The sequence below is a fragment of the Homo sapiens genome, chromosome 20 (genome assembly GCF_000001405.40).
Source record: "Homo sapiens chromosome 20, GRCh38.p14 Primary Assembly".
NCBI lineage: Eukaryota > Metazoa > Chordata > Mammalia > Primates > Hominidae > Homo > Homo sapiens.
In genome coordinates this window covers 55,416,514-55,432,956 of record NC_000020.11, presented here as the reverse complement: position 1 = coordinate 55,432,956, position 16,443 = coordinate 55,416,514, and the positions used below count along the sequence as shown (strand labels likewise).

Genomic DNA, 16,443 nt, shown 5'->3' with positions numbered 1-16,443 from the left:
TCCCGAGTAGCTGAGACCTCAGTCATGCGCCACTATGCCTGGATTTTTTTTTTTTTTTTTTTTTTTTTTTTTTTGGGGTAGAGACGAGGTCTTTCTGTGTTGCCCAAGCTGGTCTCGAACTCCTGGGCTTAAGCCGTCAGCCCGTCTCAGCTTCCTAAAGTGCTATGATTCCAGGTGTGAACCACCGCACCCGGCCCAATATGATAAGCTTTAAGGGGGTAGGCATGGGTCAGATCAGTGTTAGGTATGGATCAGATAAGGGGTCAGCAAGCTATGGCACCAGGGCAATATCCCACTTGCCCCCTATTTTTGTTGAACTAAGAAGGGATCATACATAGGAACACATGCAATTGATATGACAGGGAACACTAACTTCGATCCTAATTAAGCAAAATGTTATCCCCCAAAAAATTATATTTCTGTAATTATTAGTTGCATATTATAAAAAATTCACTCTAATACCTTATTAATAATGTTTAATGACAAAATTGTTATTTTCATATTGTATATTTTATCATTTTTTTTTGCCAAAATCTGTTATCTCTGTTTTGATAAAAGTACCTAATAATAGCTTTGATTTTGCCTCTTGGTCCATAAAGCTTGAAATATTTACTTACTGTCCCTACAGAATAAATGTGTTGACCCTTGGGTTATATCATGCCAACTACTGTGGGAAAACACTTCTTTTCTTTAACTTAATTCTGTAATTTTTTTAAAAAAAAATTTAATCATCCTAAGATGTTTTTATTTATTAATAATATCAGGTCCCATTTTGTCTTATAACAAATATACTCATTGTATGCCTATGTATGATATTGTTATTAGAAAATGATAGAAAAAAATTGCCCCTGAGAGAGAGATGATGTTGAAATTCTGAAGATATTTCTAGCTCTGTCTGGTTTTTCACAGTCCTGTCAGTCTCATTTCCAAAATCACATATGGACACATCCCTTTGGAGTTTGCCCACCACCAGGAATGGCATCAGCATCTTTCCAAACCTGAAGGCTCATGATTAGGACCAACTATGGGCTTCTCCAGCATTGATCACCACTTTACGTGAAGACCTTCACCATATGTGCTGCTTTCCATTTTTAGACATTCCCAGTGTGCTCTCATTCCAGATGGATGCTTCCCACATGCTCTTCATTGCACCCCAACAACAAAGCTTCCGGGACACTGTCCCCCAGCCCAGCACCTCTGTCATCCGTACTTTCACCTGCAGAGAACTTGCCGTTATGCCTCTATGGACATTATGTCTGTGAATCTACTCCCTCCCTCTGTCCATTCTGAAGCTATACCAGTGCCTCTTTCTCTGCCTGGAATGATTTATTCCCCATTCCTTACTGACAGTGGATATACTTCACCGCTGTCAGGTCTGGGTCTTCCCTCTCTCTCCCAGCTCTCACCACACAGACTGGGATCAGTCCTCTACTGAGCAGCCCATCAACAGCTAATTAAGTTGATGCTGTCAATCTGTAGCTACTGATAACCTAGATTAGAATCATCCAAAATGTTTATTTTTAAAATGTAAATTCTTGAGCCCTATATTACACATCCCGAATCAGATTATGGGAATGAAAGCCCAGAATCTGGCGTTTAGCATATTGCAGAAGTGTTTGATGTATTCTAAAACTGGGAAACATTTTCCTACTAGATTTTGAAAGATGATTTATAATTTCTGGATCTCTAGAGAAAATTATATATGGGCAAACAAATATGCATATATACACACACAAATACATATGCACATATATGTGTGTGTACATATACATACAGAGTTGACATAAAAAATAAACAGGAAATAAAAAAAGCAATAAAGCATATTTTATGTTTTATTTAACACATATTTATTAAGCATCTATTACTCTAGAAAGACACTGTTCTATGTACTAGGAATGGAAAGGTGAGCAAAACAGACAATAATCTCTGCTTTGTGGAACTTAAGTGCCAGGCAATCAACCAGTCAATCGTGGTAAGTATTTACTGTGTACTTGAAAAGTAATAAATACTATCTAGAAAAGCAAAATAAGGAAAAGGAATGGGCAGTTCCCATGTTAGGAATGGGGCTACAAGTTTAAGTGTGGTAATCTGCGAGTCTTTCTTTTCCTTTCGTTCTCCCTCCCCTACCTCTCCACCTCCTTCTTCTTCTTCCTTTCCTTTCTCTCTTGATTTGTAAATTCTTTCTTTAGAAGTGAGAAACTTGGCACTCATTATCTACAATCTATTTACTTATTTATTTAATCCTACTTCATACATAACAGGATTTCTGAATTGCTTACTCATACTTTTGTGAGAAACAGATTTACAAACTAAAGCCCAGCATGTTTCAACATTTCTTTTTGCCTTTAGCCTTATGATAGCCACTCACAGTTCTGTTTTCTAAAGTTACTTCAGTGAGTTATTTTCTTCCTCACCCCCTTCAATGAGGCGACATTATTCATTTGTCCGACAGTTAGCTTCATGTATTCCTATTTGTATTCTGTGCTGGATTCCTCTCACATCCTGTTGGTTTTTCTGTATGTTTGGTTCCATTTTTTTTTTTTTTCTTATATGGTTTTTTTGGTGTGTGTTTTTTTTCAAGATTCTAGAAGTCAAAACAATACCATAAGGTATACTTAGAGAAGTGTCTCCTCTCCATATTCCTGCTACCCTGTTCTCATTCTCCTTTCCAGCATTTTCCCACCCACCCCATGGAGATAACCAATCTATAATTTCTTGTTTATCCAGCCTGCATTTCTTTTGCACACATGAGCAGATGAATGTATATTTTCTTGTAGCCTATTTTTTTCTACTTGAAGGACAATTTACTATAGATAATTTTCTGAATTTTGCTACTTTCACCTGACAGTAGATTCTGGAAATCACTTCAAGCCAGTTTGTAGAACTCTGCCTCATTCTTCTTACAGCTGCACAATACTCCACTTTACGGATGTGCCATTGTTTATTCAAGTGCTCTCCTATGTACGGGCATTTAGGTTGTTTCCAAATGTTTGCATTATGATCAAGACTGCCATGAATAACCCAGTGTATAGTGTTTTCATATTGCTGGGAATGTACCTTCAGGGTAGGTTCCTAGAAGGGGAACTGCAGTGCAAAAGTTGTAGGCATGTGGAGTTTTGTTAGATTTTGCCGAATTCCTCTCTTGAGGGGTTGCACCGCTAGGTGTTCCCATCAGCAAAGTGTGAGAATTCCTGTCTCCCCATAGCCTCAACAACAGAGTGTATTGACACACGTTTAATTTTTGCCAGGCTGATAGGTGATAAATTGCATGTCAGTATTTTTATTTTCATTTCTCAAACTATGAGTGATTGGTCCTTCATATGTTTCAAGAACATTTTTGCATCTTTGTATGTTTCCGTAATTGTTCCTGTCATCCCTCATTTTAAAAAAATCAGATTTTTTTTCTTTTTGCCCTCAAATTTTAAGAATTATTCATATATATATATATAAAATGCCTATATTAGTGCTTCATTTGTAGCGTATGTTGTACATATTTTCTCCCAGTTTTCAGTTGTCTTTTGACTTCATTTTTGTTTTGTTTGCTTTTTCATGTAGTTATTTTTTCATTAGTAAAATATATCCATGTTTTCCCGTATTGCATTTGGATAGGCAGTCATAATTACAAAGTCTTTCTCTGCAGCATGGTTAAAGTGGAGTTTGCCCATGTTTTCTTCTAGTACTTGCATAGTCTCACTTTAAAAAATTTGGGTGTTATTTGGAGTCTATTCTTGTATATAGTGTAAAATATGGACCTAATTTTACTTTTTTCCAAGTGGCTACCCAGTTGCCCCAACACCATTTATTAAAATTTTCTTCTTTACCTCAATGCTTTGAGATGCTACCTTTATTATATAATAAATTTTCATGGATACTTGGGACTATCTGTGGGTCTTCCCTTCTATCCCACTGGTCTATTAGTTTATTCATGTACCCGAACCATGTTGATTTAAGTATAGTGACTTTATAGTGTGTTTTAATGTCTTCTAGGGCTACTCCGCCTAGAGCCCTGCTCTAGGGCTACTGTCTTTCAGAAAAGAAAGAACACCTTTCTTTTCTATTATTTTTTTTTTCTGGTTATTCATAATATTTGTTTTCCCATATGGACTTTAGTATCAATTTGTTTAACTCTGTAAAATAACTCACAAATGAGTAACTTAGGAAAAAGTTTAGAAGGAAATAAAGAAGGACAGAAAAAAATGGAGGATAAAGACAGGGAAGCCTTCCTCCTCAAGATTCTTATAACCCAGCTAGGAACACATCTCATCTCCTAGTATAGACTCATGATTGGACACCTACTCTATCCCTCCCTATGCTACACCAGGCACTGAAAATAGAGCAGTAAAATGAACACAGAGGGCGTTCCTCACCCTGAAGAGGTGGGCACAAGTCTTGGCTTGATTAAGCACAATTTGAAAATGGTCTACAGGCTTTTTTCTTTTTGCTAAATATTCCCAGGAGAGAAAATAGAGAATTTTGAAATAATGTCATAAAGTTCAAAACGGATCTCCATGTCTGCAGCTTGTCAAGTCATGCATCTCTAAGTCAGTCTTGACATCTTCCTCTTTCACTGCCAACACCTGATCAATCACTCTTGTCTGTATATTTCATTTTTGTAATATCTCTCCAGTCCACCCACCTCTTTCCAGCTCACTGTCACTCTTCCGGACCAGGTCTCCAGGCCAACATAATATTTTATCTGAATTACTACACTTATGTCCTAAGTTACCTCTCTCCCTTCCTCTTCCTGTCTCCCCTCATCCAGAATAATCTTGACAATCCTGAGTCAGATTCTGTCTCTCACTAGCTTCACACCCTTCAATGGCTTCTGACTGTTCTTGAGCGAATGTTCAAACTCTTTATCAAGCTTTACAAGGCTCTGCATTATCTGCTTCTGCCAGCCTCATGTTGCCACTCCCCTTGTCACTACGCAATTGCCACTCTGGCTTCCCTCCGATGTCTAGAAAGTACCTGCTTCTTTCTGTGAGTTATTCCCATGCCTGTAACCTCCTCTGAGTTCTACCCTTCTGCCTGGTAAACTCTTACCAATCCCCTCATCCAGATTTAAACATTCCGTCTTAGAGGAAGACTTCTCTGTCTTCCTATCCTTCATTTAGGTTTCTTACTCCTCATATTCATTGAACTGTGTACTTCCTGAGATCACTTAAAAACAACTCTAACATTCATTGATTGAAGGAAGAAAGGAAAGAACAAAGAAAGAAACAATTGAACTCAAAACTGAAAGTTTCCAACATTTGAGCAGTACCATGTCATCAGTGTTTTGGGTGATAGTGTTGATGGGGTAGTTGCTGTGGAAAATTGAATACAGTTTACTTACTTGCAGATAGACTCATTTAGATGTATGAATTTAAAATGTATACCTTTTTGTACTGTCTTCTATAATTACTGTGGTTTGGATTACAACTTGCCATTTGAGATTTTTATTTCAAGCACTCAAATAACAAAAGGCGACCATTTCTTACATTATCTCCAACACTGCCAGGTGTTCTTCCATCATCAAATTGTTAAAGAAAACACACAAAACATATGGTTTCCATTGCTCCCTGCATAATCTGGAGCTATAGAAATGCAGGATGCTCACGCTCTCAGCAGAAAGCAGTGAGCATGAAATATTCATAAGCTTGGTGTTTGTGATTATTAAGTAAAGGCCAATTCTCGTGAGTTTGTCATTTTTTAAAAAATATGTAGTTATTTATTAAGCAGCTAAATATTTGCTATATGATAGTTCTCATTATAATACTAGCTGAGACAGATTCCCTAAGAGGTATATGGAAGACTCTTGAAAATAAAGGACAGAAAAGCCTTAGGAAATACAGATGCATTCAGGAATCAGTACGACCAATACATATCATCTTTAAGGTTTTAAAAAGGTATCTGTCATAATATTTATTTTAACTTCCAGTAAAAAGGTAGAGCATGAGGCTTTGGGATTTGGGATTTGGAGACACTCAGATGTGAGCTAAGTCTTCCTCTGTCACTCACTACTTCTTGTGATATTGGGCAAGTTACTAAACTTTGCTTAGCATCAGTTTTCTTTTTCTCATCTGCAAAGTGGTAGCAGTAATTGCATGAGGCTCGTAGGAAGGTTGCCAACAGTATTGAGGTAATGCAATGCCAAGTATTTATCTCAGTCTTTCCCACATAATACATGTTTGATATTTTGTTTTTATTGATTATGGTATGTAATATTTTCTTTTGAAATTTGGCATTAGTTCTATACAAATGGAAACCAAGTTGGGCAAGTCCTGGGTCAAACACCTGCTAAGGTCAGAACTAGTGGAAAGAGTGTGTAGATTCCCAAGAGCAGAAGTTCAGAGATGGCTCTGTTACATCTTTCCTTTGAAACTTTGGGTAAGTCACTGGATCTCATATCCCTGATCTGTAAAATGAGGATAATGGTTGCTTTAATTGCATGAACTTAATGAGATCTTATAAATCAACATATTTTTAGCATTGTGATAATGTTTTTAAATGGTAGCTTTTTCTATTTAATTCTTTCATTTAACGAATATTTAGTGAGCACTTGCACTTTGATGGGGCCATTTTCATTTGGCTGCAAGAATAGAGATGCATTATATGACTTGTTTCAGTAAGTCCCATCCATATCTCCCTACTAGTAAGAAGAAAATTAGCTTTTGGTGTTTAAAAAGCCTATAAATCTACTACTATAAATTGATTAATTGATTTTACAAATATGTGCGGTTAGTATGGGTTCAAAAGCGTGGTGAAATATTCAAAAATTGAAACATTGCTCACAATGGCAAACTGTAGGAAAAAGTCTAAGACATCACTAACAGTGAACAAAATAAATCAATGATACATCCATGCAAAGGAATATTATGCAGCTCTTAAAAAGAATAAGGCATACCTGCATGAGAGGCATTATTTTCATACTGCAAGGTTATGCTGCAGAGTTGTGTGGGGCACAGTCTAGACTGCTTGAATTTGAATCACACTTCACTGCCTTCTGTGTAAATTTGTTCAAGTCACTTTCTGCATTATATCACCCTTTCCCTGTGTCTCCAACTGGTTGATACTTGCACCTCTCCCAGAAGTTGTAGGGATTATCTGAAAATAATTTAGAAAAGTGCCAGGTTTAGACACATACTCTATATGGGTTTGTTTGCTGCTGTTGTTATTATTATTATTGAAGTGGGTACCTCAAAAGATTTATTATTAACTAAAAATCAAAATGCATAATACTGTCCACATACTATATCCATGTATAAAAGTATATGTTAGAGGATGGAAAATATATGTTTAAATGGACAACACATATTTCTGGAAGAGTCTAGAAGAAATTCATTATGTTGCTATCTTTTTGGAGGGTAAATGGAAAACTGGGTGACATGAGAGAGAAGGAGAGAGAATTATCTCTAATTAGAAAATAATTTTAATCTGTTTAAAATATTTACCATATTCACATATCACCTCTTAAAAAAACAAGGACAATAAAATAAGTAACTATATGTAACCACATTATAATCCATGATTTTATATTTATGACATTTTTCCTGTCTGGGCCACATGGATGAGCTTAGTATTTGTCTTTTGTGTGTGTGTGATTATTGTATGCTTGCACCTCAGTCCTCCCAGGTTCATTTTCATCAAGGTAAACCAGGGTAAAAATTTCTAAGCACTGTTTAGATCTTCAACAAAACCTTGAATACTCTTAGAAATTAAATACCCTGAAATGAATTGGAGCATCTCAGAGCCCAGAAAGCATGAGTCATGGAGAATGGACTCCTCCAGCAACTCAAATCCCAGGCTCCTCAGCACTCATGACAGCTGTATGTGGGAGGCCCCAGAGGTTCGCCTGAAATAGGGTCAACTGGAGTCTGTCTCAATAAATTTACAAGCATGTTTTATTAAAAGGAGTTGCTTCTTCGAGGCCACTGCCACTATTAAAACTAAGAGGAAAGTTTTGAAAAAATTAAAACCACCCTCTCTACCCTCTTCGAATAGAACATCAATTTATGTAAATTGTTTTTTATAAGTAGCCTCCGAGTCACTTAAAACATTTTACTTAATCCACATGGGTGAAGCCTCAAGGTTTCCAGTTTTTGTGCTTCTGCTGGAAGGAAGCTTCTCAGTGTTGTGTGGTTTTCAAAAGGTGCTTGCACAGCTTTCCAAGAGGAATTGTCCACAGCAAGCAATCCAGAGCTGGAGACCTCAGTCATTGCAGCAGGAGGCTTATCTGACAGGCTTATCTGTACTTTTATCAGCAAGATAGGCGATCTTGGGAGCCCGTGTCTCAAAGCAGCACAACCCTCTCTCTACCATTTGCTGACATGTGTTTCTTGACCATGAAGGCAAAAAACACTGCCTAGGTTCTGCTTTCAGGGGAAATACACGTGACCAGAAGGAGGAGTTGAAGGTCCTTCTCTTTAGGGATGTACAGGAAAGGCAGCAAATCCTTGTCCTTTGCAGGAATATGCATGAGGCTCTTGCTGTGCCCTCTAATCTGAATGCCACTCCCTTTTATTCTGGACACAGAGAGCTTGGTAGTGATCATGGCTCTGCCTCTTACTAGCTATATGGCTTTCAGCACACTAGTTAACCTTTCTAGGCCACATTTTTCAAATCTGTAGGGTGGGAATAAATAAATTAATTTGACTAATATCTGAGTTGCTACTCTATGCAGGATTTGGACTTTTGCAGTACAGGAATAGTTACAGAGGTACAAAAGAGAGGTTGTTCAGGAAGCCTCTAGTCTAGGACTGTAATAAAATATTCTTCCTTAGGTTACTGATTATGACGGGATATTTCTCCTAAGGTTACTGAGGGTGATGGGCCATTCCCCTTACGGTTACTGACAATGGTGGAGTATTCTTCCTAAGGTTATTAAACACTTCTCATAAGATTATTGAGGGTGTGAAGGGACAATGTCTACCTACAAAATTAGTTGTGGAGACTTGGAGAAATGCAGGTCAAGCTGTCGGCAGTGCTGTCCCAGATTAGGCAGCGAGCAAGTGTGAACACTGCCCACCTCAGCCTAATTTCAGTTTCTCAGGGAAGTCCCCAACTGGTTCAAATTCTTCTACTCTGTGCTTTCAGAAATCCTGGTACCTCTTCTTGAGGGTCTTATTACATTTGCAATTTTATATTAACGTGGGTAATTATTCAATTTATTTCTGATTCTCCCACTAGATCTTAAGTTCCATCAGGACAGGGCTGCTGGCTTTTTATTATTCTTATTTGTCTCTATTTTCTCCCAAGGGCAGTTGCCCAATGAAGGCCTGAGAGATGTACATACTTGTATTTTTAATGAATAAATGAGCATATTGAGCAATATGTGCCCCCTTTTTCTCTCTCAATTTCATTTCAGAAAGCCAGAACATGTATTTCTCTTGCTTATCCCAGGCAGGATCTAAATATGCAAATATGCCACTTTTCTACAAGATAACTCACTGTGAGTCAATTGCAGGACAGACACAATACAATGGAGCCCGAATTTCTCAGGTAAGCATCGGCATTTTCTCCGACCTGGAACTGTTGCTTCATTTGCATTGTTAACTGTATTATGAATATGTTCAACTCCATTCCTGGCACTTGATGCCTTAATAGGCTTTCAAAGGGGTTTTGTGATGGAGAAATTGTCCTCCAAATTCTCTTGGTGGCCCCCTGCATGCTCTTTTATAATGTCTACCTGGCAGGTGCACTGGCCATACAATGAATTCAGCAATAATTACCTTTGAAATCCAAAACCACATACTGTTTCAGGACCCAGGAGGGATTTAGCTGAATGCCCATATTAGCTTGAAGCTCAGATTGAAGAAAAAAGAAACACCTTCTTTTCACATTTTAACAGCATTTGTGAAAATCCATGGGCATTCTCTGTGTGCCGTGACAGGGCACAGCTCCGCCTTGCTACCCCTGCCTTCCATACTTCTTTTCTTTGGGTTATTTTGTCTTCTCTAGAATCTTCTCGCATTCCATTTTCATTGTGACTCCAAACAGCATTTTCATTTTGGATTTATGGCAGCCCAAGTTCGTGTCAGAGAATAAAATCAAATTAACAGGGTCAAACATTCAGGACGACCAAGCCCAGGCATGAATGTGAAATTGTTAACACAAGGGCAACCTCTAAAGGTTTATGGAAACATAAGAAAGACAAATGCAGATGAGGACAGGCTACGGGACTGGCTGACCAAACCACAAGTTACCTGAAGGGCAATGCTGGGCACAGAGTAGGCACTTAGAGTTGTGTTTGAATGATTCTGTAGGGCGATAAATCATCCTGTTTTTCTCAAGACATGAATTCCTGTGCTAAAACTGGGAAAATCTCAAGAAAACTAGGACAGGTTAGTCACCTTAGATTAGCATACACTGACTTTGGGTTTTCTGATAGCCCAGACTCATCCTGCTTTCACCCTGTGATAACCATGGTCTCAGGCAAGATTACATCCACTTCCCTTCTATTCTTCCCAGCCATATGAGTTCAAAGCACATGTCCATATTGTGGACATATTGTGGACAGTGCACTTGGAGATGGAAAGGATGGGTGAGGGAAGAAAGAATTGATGCGTTTTGATATATCCAACATATTTTTTCTTCCCTTTTATTCTCTTTTCAGGCAAAGAAATGTGGATATGGACATCTAAGAGCTTTTAGAATATAATTTCAAAGGCAGGACTGATTCTGTGAAAAGCCATCAAATGTACTGTCTGACAGCTGTTCCTGCCCAGCAAATGAACAGGATACCTACGACACGGTGACTACCATGTCATCAGGGCCATGAGATGTACAGAGTTGACCAGGAAGCAACAGAAATGTAACTCAAAACCTCAAAACAGAAAACCACGTAGCCTATGACAGTGGTCGCTGGAGTATATATTTTACTCTTGCGGATTAGAAAAAAATCTCAAGCCGTCAAAGATAGAAAAGAAAAACTGGGGAAAACAAAGAATTGAAATCAACATATAAGAGACAAGACTACAATTGCTACATTTATAGTATTAGAAGGAAAAAAAAAACACTTCAAGGTGAGGGAAAAAAAACTGGATCAGAGTTCAGAAATCCCTCCAGGGCATGAGCAAAATGAAGTGAGAGACTCCTAGGTAGGAAGATAATACCATGCCTGAAGTTAGCAAAGTTCTAGACGTGATATAACAGAGATATCATGCAGTTGAAAAACAATTCCTGGGGTCACGTCATACAGATGGTTGCCCCACACCGCTCCAGGAATTCAAACCAAGACGGCATTCTGGGGGAGGCTGGACAAGGAACAAATGGCTCTGTTGTAAAAGTTAAATGAGATTCCATGCCTGCCACTCCAATGGCTCAGGGCACACCTCTAACTATTTTTTTTTTTTTATTTGAGGTGGAGTCTCAGTCTGTCACCCAGGCTGGAGTCCAGTGGTGTGATCTCAGCTCACTGCAAGCTCTGCCTCTCGGGTTCACGCCATTCTCCTGCCTCAGCCTCCCGAGTAGCTGGGACTACAGGCGCCCACCACCACGCCCGGCTAATTTTTTGTATTTTTAGTAGAGATGGGGTTTCACCGTGTTAGCCAGGATGGTCTCGATCTCCTGATCTCGTGATCCGCCCGCCTCAGCCTCCCAAAGTGCTGGGATTACAGGGGTGAGCCACCGTGCCTGCCCCAATTTGTTTATTTTTAATTGGTCCTCAGCAGCATCACCATAGGAATAGGAAAAACTAAAGTGGACCTGCGTCAGGACACCATCATCCACAAAAACCCAGCCTTGTTCCCTCAGGCTGCAACGGGCAGTAGGTTGGGGGACTACTTTAACAAGGGAAAACGATGGCAACAACGGACAGGCAAAATCTCCCATGCTTTCTGAGGAAATAGACGTAAAAAAAACATGGAAGAAAATATTCATTAAATTTTTGTGTCTTAGCAATTGCAGATATAAATTAAGGTGCATTTAAAATGCCACCTTAAGATGTCTGATGTGTCCTGGGTGGGATGAGTGTATGCATGTATCGCACCTTGTATTATGTAATGACTAGGCTGCTTGGTTCTACTGGAATATTCTGCCACACCCGTATTCAACATCCAACAGATCTGTACTGAACACCTGCTGTATACATGGAATGATTCTAAGTCCTGGGGATAGAACAGTGAATACAGCAGACAAAATTTCTGCCTTCATGGAACTTATATTCTTATTAGCAAGATAGAAAAAAATGTACAATATACATCCTATATAAGCACTATAGAGAAAATAAAGAATATAGCAGGGTAAATTAAACCACTTGTGATAGGAGCAATATTTGAGATAGGTCACTTAGACAAACCCTCTCCGAGAGGAATTGAGCCATGATACATATACCACCGTATATAAATACTATCTAGGACAGAGGGAATAGCCAGGGCAAAAGCCCCTGTGCTTATTATATTCAAGAACCACTGTGAGGCCAAAGAAATGACAGACACTTGGACCAGCATGCTGTCCATGGAGTTGTGAGAAGTGTTTAGTAATAAGTGAAATACATTTTGAAGGTAAAGTTGGCATAGCATGACTTCTTTCTTTCTAACCCAGAAACCCCACACACCAGATTTCCTTTCTCATATGGACATTTGTGACAGGCTCTCTAAATTGAATCCCCTTAGGCTATTAACTGAAAGGAGCATGGTGCTTAAAAAAGAGAAAGTAGAGAATTAGCTCATTATGTGATGCCTTTAGTATTTAATTCATTCCTGTGACCATTCTTTCACTCATTCCTCTTGAAAGCACTTGCTTAGCATCTAATACATCTTCAGCACCTGCTGGGCCTTAGAGGAGAAAAATGAGCAAGGCACAATCCCTGCATCCAAGGACACAATCTTGCTGATGAAGAAAGACTGACAAACAGATGATTACAGGACAATATGGTAAATGCAGCCATCATCATTTATGTGAATGCTCTACATGATTTGAAGATAGAGGGTCAGCTAGGGGACTCACAGGAAGTGAGAATCCGGATCAAATAACATCAATTAGGAAGAGAAGATGGCCTGGTAAAGTCAGGGAAGGAACCAGAATGGGAAGAAGGAGAGGAGTGAGGGAATTCTAGCAGAAGGAAACCTGATTAGAGGCATGAATGGGTTGTGGGGAGGGCATAGCACATACAGGGGATATTAGGTTTGGTGCTGCTAATAAAATGGTGTTTCTCATAATTAACAAATGACTATATGCCTTGCTAAATACATAGATTTTCAGATCCCTCTCTGGGAGATGCTGATTCAGCAGGTGCATGGTGGGAAGTGGGCGTGTGCATCTTCACAAGTACCAGAGGAATTGTGATCACTGGGAAGTCTGAGATTTACCGTATTAGAGGTTAAAGAGTTGGGGGTGGGCATGCAACTGGAAGGAGGGACCGGATTAGAAGAGCCATACATAGAATGCGTCATGGACAAGAACCAGGGAGTTTATTCTATGTGTCAACAGTTAAATTTCATAACACAATTTTTAAAAAAGAAGAAAGGGAAGAAAGGAGGAAGAGGTACATGTAAGGCAGAAGGAGTGGAGAATTCAGATTAGGGGATTAACACAGGATAATTATATTTCATTTTGGCAAGGAAGAAATAAACTAGAAATAACACCACCGCCCAAACAAAAAACAATAAAAATATTGTATTAGTTTTCTGTTGCTGCCATAACAAATTACCACAAACTTCATGGTTTAAAGTAGCACAACTTTATTATCGTACAGTATTTGTGATCACAGTTCGGACATGGGTCTCCCTCAGCTAAAACCAAGGTGTCGACAGGGCTGCACTCCATTCTGAAAGCTCTAGGAGGAACTTTGTTTCTTGCCTTTTCCGGCTTGCAGAGGCTGCTCTTATACCATGGTTCATGGTGCCTTCCTCCATGGGAAGCCAGCAAGGATGGGATAGATAAGTCCCTTTCACATCAGATCACTCTGATCCCCTTTCCATAATCACATCCCTTTCTCTGACGAAAACTGAGAGATGTTCTCCACTTTAAAGGATTCATGTAGCCCCATTTGAATAATCCAAGATAAATTCCCTGCCTCCATGGCTTTAACTTAATCCCATCTGCAAAGTCCCTTTGCCATGGAAGATAACACAGTAATCGAGCTCAGGTTCTGGGGATTAAGAAGTGGGTACTTGGTGTGTGTGTTGGCAGGGAGGAGGACAGCATTATTTGGCAAACCATAAATATATTAGATTGGGAAAAAATCTAGCTTCATGGAAACCCCCTTCCATTCTCCTTCGTTTCCTCACCTCACTTTGGACCTGCAATGGCCTCCTTAGGAACCAGGTGCCATCAGCATCCAGTGAAGGGTTTTAAGCTTAGAGTCATAGGATCTCATCTCTTTCAGTGAAGAAGAGGATTCTCCAAGTATCCAGTTAACTCATACCTTATATAATTATTTAGAGGTGATTTGATTTTTTAAAATTCCCAATTAAACTTGGCAAATTTCTCCAGTATTATTTTATACTCAGCGTAAGTTGATGTCCTTAAGAATGAAGCTTTCAGTAGCTTTGCCTTAGACAGTCTATGTATTTCACATTTGTAACAAGCAGTAATTTTCCAGGTGAAATTTATGCATAGGTGATTTTACCTTTTCAAGAGGACGATTTTGCAAGTTTGTTGGTGCAGACAAATAAACAAAAGCTGGCCTGTGCAAGTATATTAGTCCCTTCTTCCAAAGAAAAAAAAAATGTCTCACTGCATAATAAATGAATCTAAAGGGAGTGAAGGAAGCTTCATTTAGAGTCAAGAAGGAGCACAGATACTTGACAATATTTAATAGCTGAGAGAAATGACTGAACTCAGCACAAAGCCTGCTGCCTCTTCATCATTCCAGAGTTTGCAAGCTTTGTTACATTCCTTTATGACAGATGCGGTTTTTACTTTTGTGGCTTCCTTTGATTTTGTTTCTAAGTAATTTTCCCCCAACTCCATACTTCTCTTAAGACTCCACAAAGTTACCACTTAGCCCAGAAGTCAAAGAGAGAGTACAAGTGAAAGAGAACATCTGGTTGTCCAAGCCAATATTACTGGGCTTAGCTGTTTGGGATTCAGCCAAAGAAAAGAGAAGCAGAAATGAAGGTCTGTGTTCTGTGTTTCCTCAATTTTTTTTCTGTTCTAGCAGTTGTCTTCTGAAGGAATGATAGAAGTCCTTTCTACATAGATTCTGCAGAATGAACTACTAAATGTTTTCTCCTCATGGAAAATGTAACTTTTTAAAATAAAAAGTATGACAGAATACAAGAAAAGATATTATTTACACTGCTACTACTCATAATTAAGCACTTGTAATAGTTGATTTTATGTCAGTTTGACTAAGCTAAGGAATGCCAAGATGGCTTATCAAATATTATTTCTGGGTGTGCCCATGAGGGTATTTTCAGAAGAGATCAACATTTGAATCAGTAGACTGAGTAAATTAAAAAAAAAGTTTAAAACAAAGATGTGTAGTACATTGTTTTCTCTAAATCAATAATGCTCATTATAAATAAATAGTCTGTGAAAAAACGAAAATATAAAATTTAAAAATAGCTCCAAATTCAACCACGCAAAAATAGCATAAGTAACATGGCACAAACAGCATTCCAAGTATCTTCCTATAAACCTACATGGATAGGTGGTTGAATGGGTTAGTGGGTGATGATTGGAAGAAAAAAAAAGAAAAGCTCCAGGGAAATGTTATGTTTTGGATGATTTTAAAATACAAAATATTGAATATTTTGTCAAATTTAACAGAATAATACTCAATATAAATATAGTTATTTAAATGAAAATAAATGATTCTACCCTCCAAAATATAGTTTCTCTCATCTCCCCAAAATTTAGAAAAAAAATTGTAAATGACACTAAGAATTTGTAGTTATTTTAACCTACAATTTTACAGCTGTGATATATTCAACTGCATAGTTAAGAAATCTACCTGTAATCCCAGCACTTTGGGAGGCCGAGGCGGGTGGATCATGAGGTCAGGAGATTGAGACCATCCTGGCTAACAAGGTGAAACCCCGTCTCTACTAAAAATACAAAAAATTAGCCGGGCGCGGTGGCGGGCGCCTGTAGTCCCAGCTACTGGGGAGGCTGAGGCAGGAGAATGGCGTGAACCCGGGAAGCGGAGCTTGCAGTGAGCCGAGATGGCGCCACTGCAGTCCGCAGTCCGGCCTGGGCGACAGAGCGAGACTCCGTCTCAAAAAAAAAAAAAAAAAAAAAAAAGAAATCTAACACTTCTTTTAATTTCCTCTGAAACCTTCTAACTTATTATTCATTACAGTATTTTTACTTTTTCAGTTTTATTATTTTACCTACTCCAAATTTTATAGTTATTATTAATTTGGTATTTACATTTGAATCAATACACACAGATATACATTTAGTGTTGACCATCAATCAGTTCTTTTGACAATCCTGTTTGAAGTTTTTTATTTAGATTAAAATATGAAATGGCTGGATGGTATTGCCAAGTACCATCCAGCAATTTTATATTTT

General features: G+C 38.5%; 2 long non-coding RNA genes across 2 annotated transcripts, besides 1 other annotated feature; one reads left to right on the top strand and one right to left on the bottom strand.

Moving 5' to 3' along the window:
• The first annotated feature begins 5,759 nt into the window (after nt 1-5,759).
• Nucleotides 5,760-12,621, top strand: LINC01441 (long intergenic non-protein coding RNA 1441). The gene is made up of 3 exons (NR_110064.1): nt 5,760-5,888; nt 9,347-9,480; nt 10,595-12,621. It is a non-coding gene; the product is annotated as a long intergenic non-protein coding RNA 1441 (long non-coding RNA).
• LINC01440 (long intergenic non-protein coding RNA 1440) lies at nt 6,166-9,914 on the bottom strand. Its single transcript, NR_110629.1, has 3 exons — nt 9,711-9,914; nt 6,887-7,086; nt 6,166-6,397 (listed from the first exon to the last, which is right to left on the bottom strand). It is a non-coding gene; the product is annotated as a long intergenic non-protein coding RNA 1440 (long non-coding RNA).
• Nucleotides 9,300-9,974: an enhancer, noted in NCBI's record as "OCT4-NANOG hESC enhancer chr20:54039521-54040195 (GRCh37/hg19 assembly coordinates)". NCBI's record gives its function as "activates a minimal SCP1, AML or CMV promoter by ChIP-STARR-seq in primed H9 embryonic stem cells {active_cell/tissue: H9 hESC(primed)}" and the evidence as "EXISTENCE:reporter gene assay evidence [ECO:0000049][PMID:30033119]".
• Nucleotides 12,622-16,443: the final 3,822 nt, after the last annotated feature.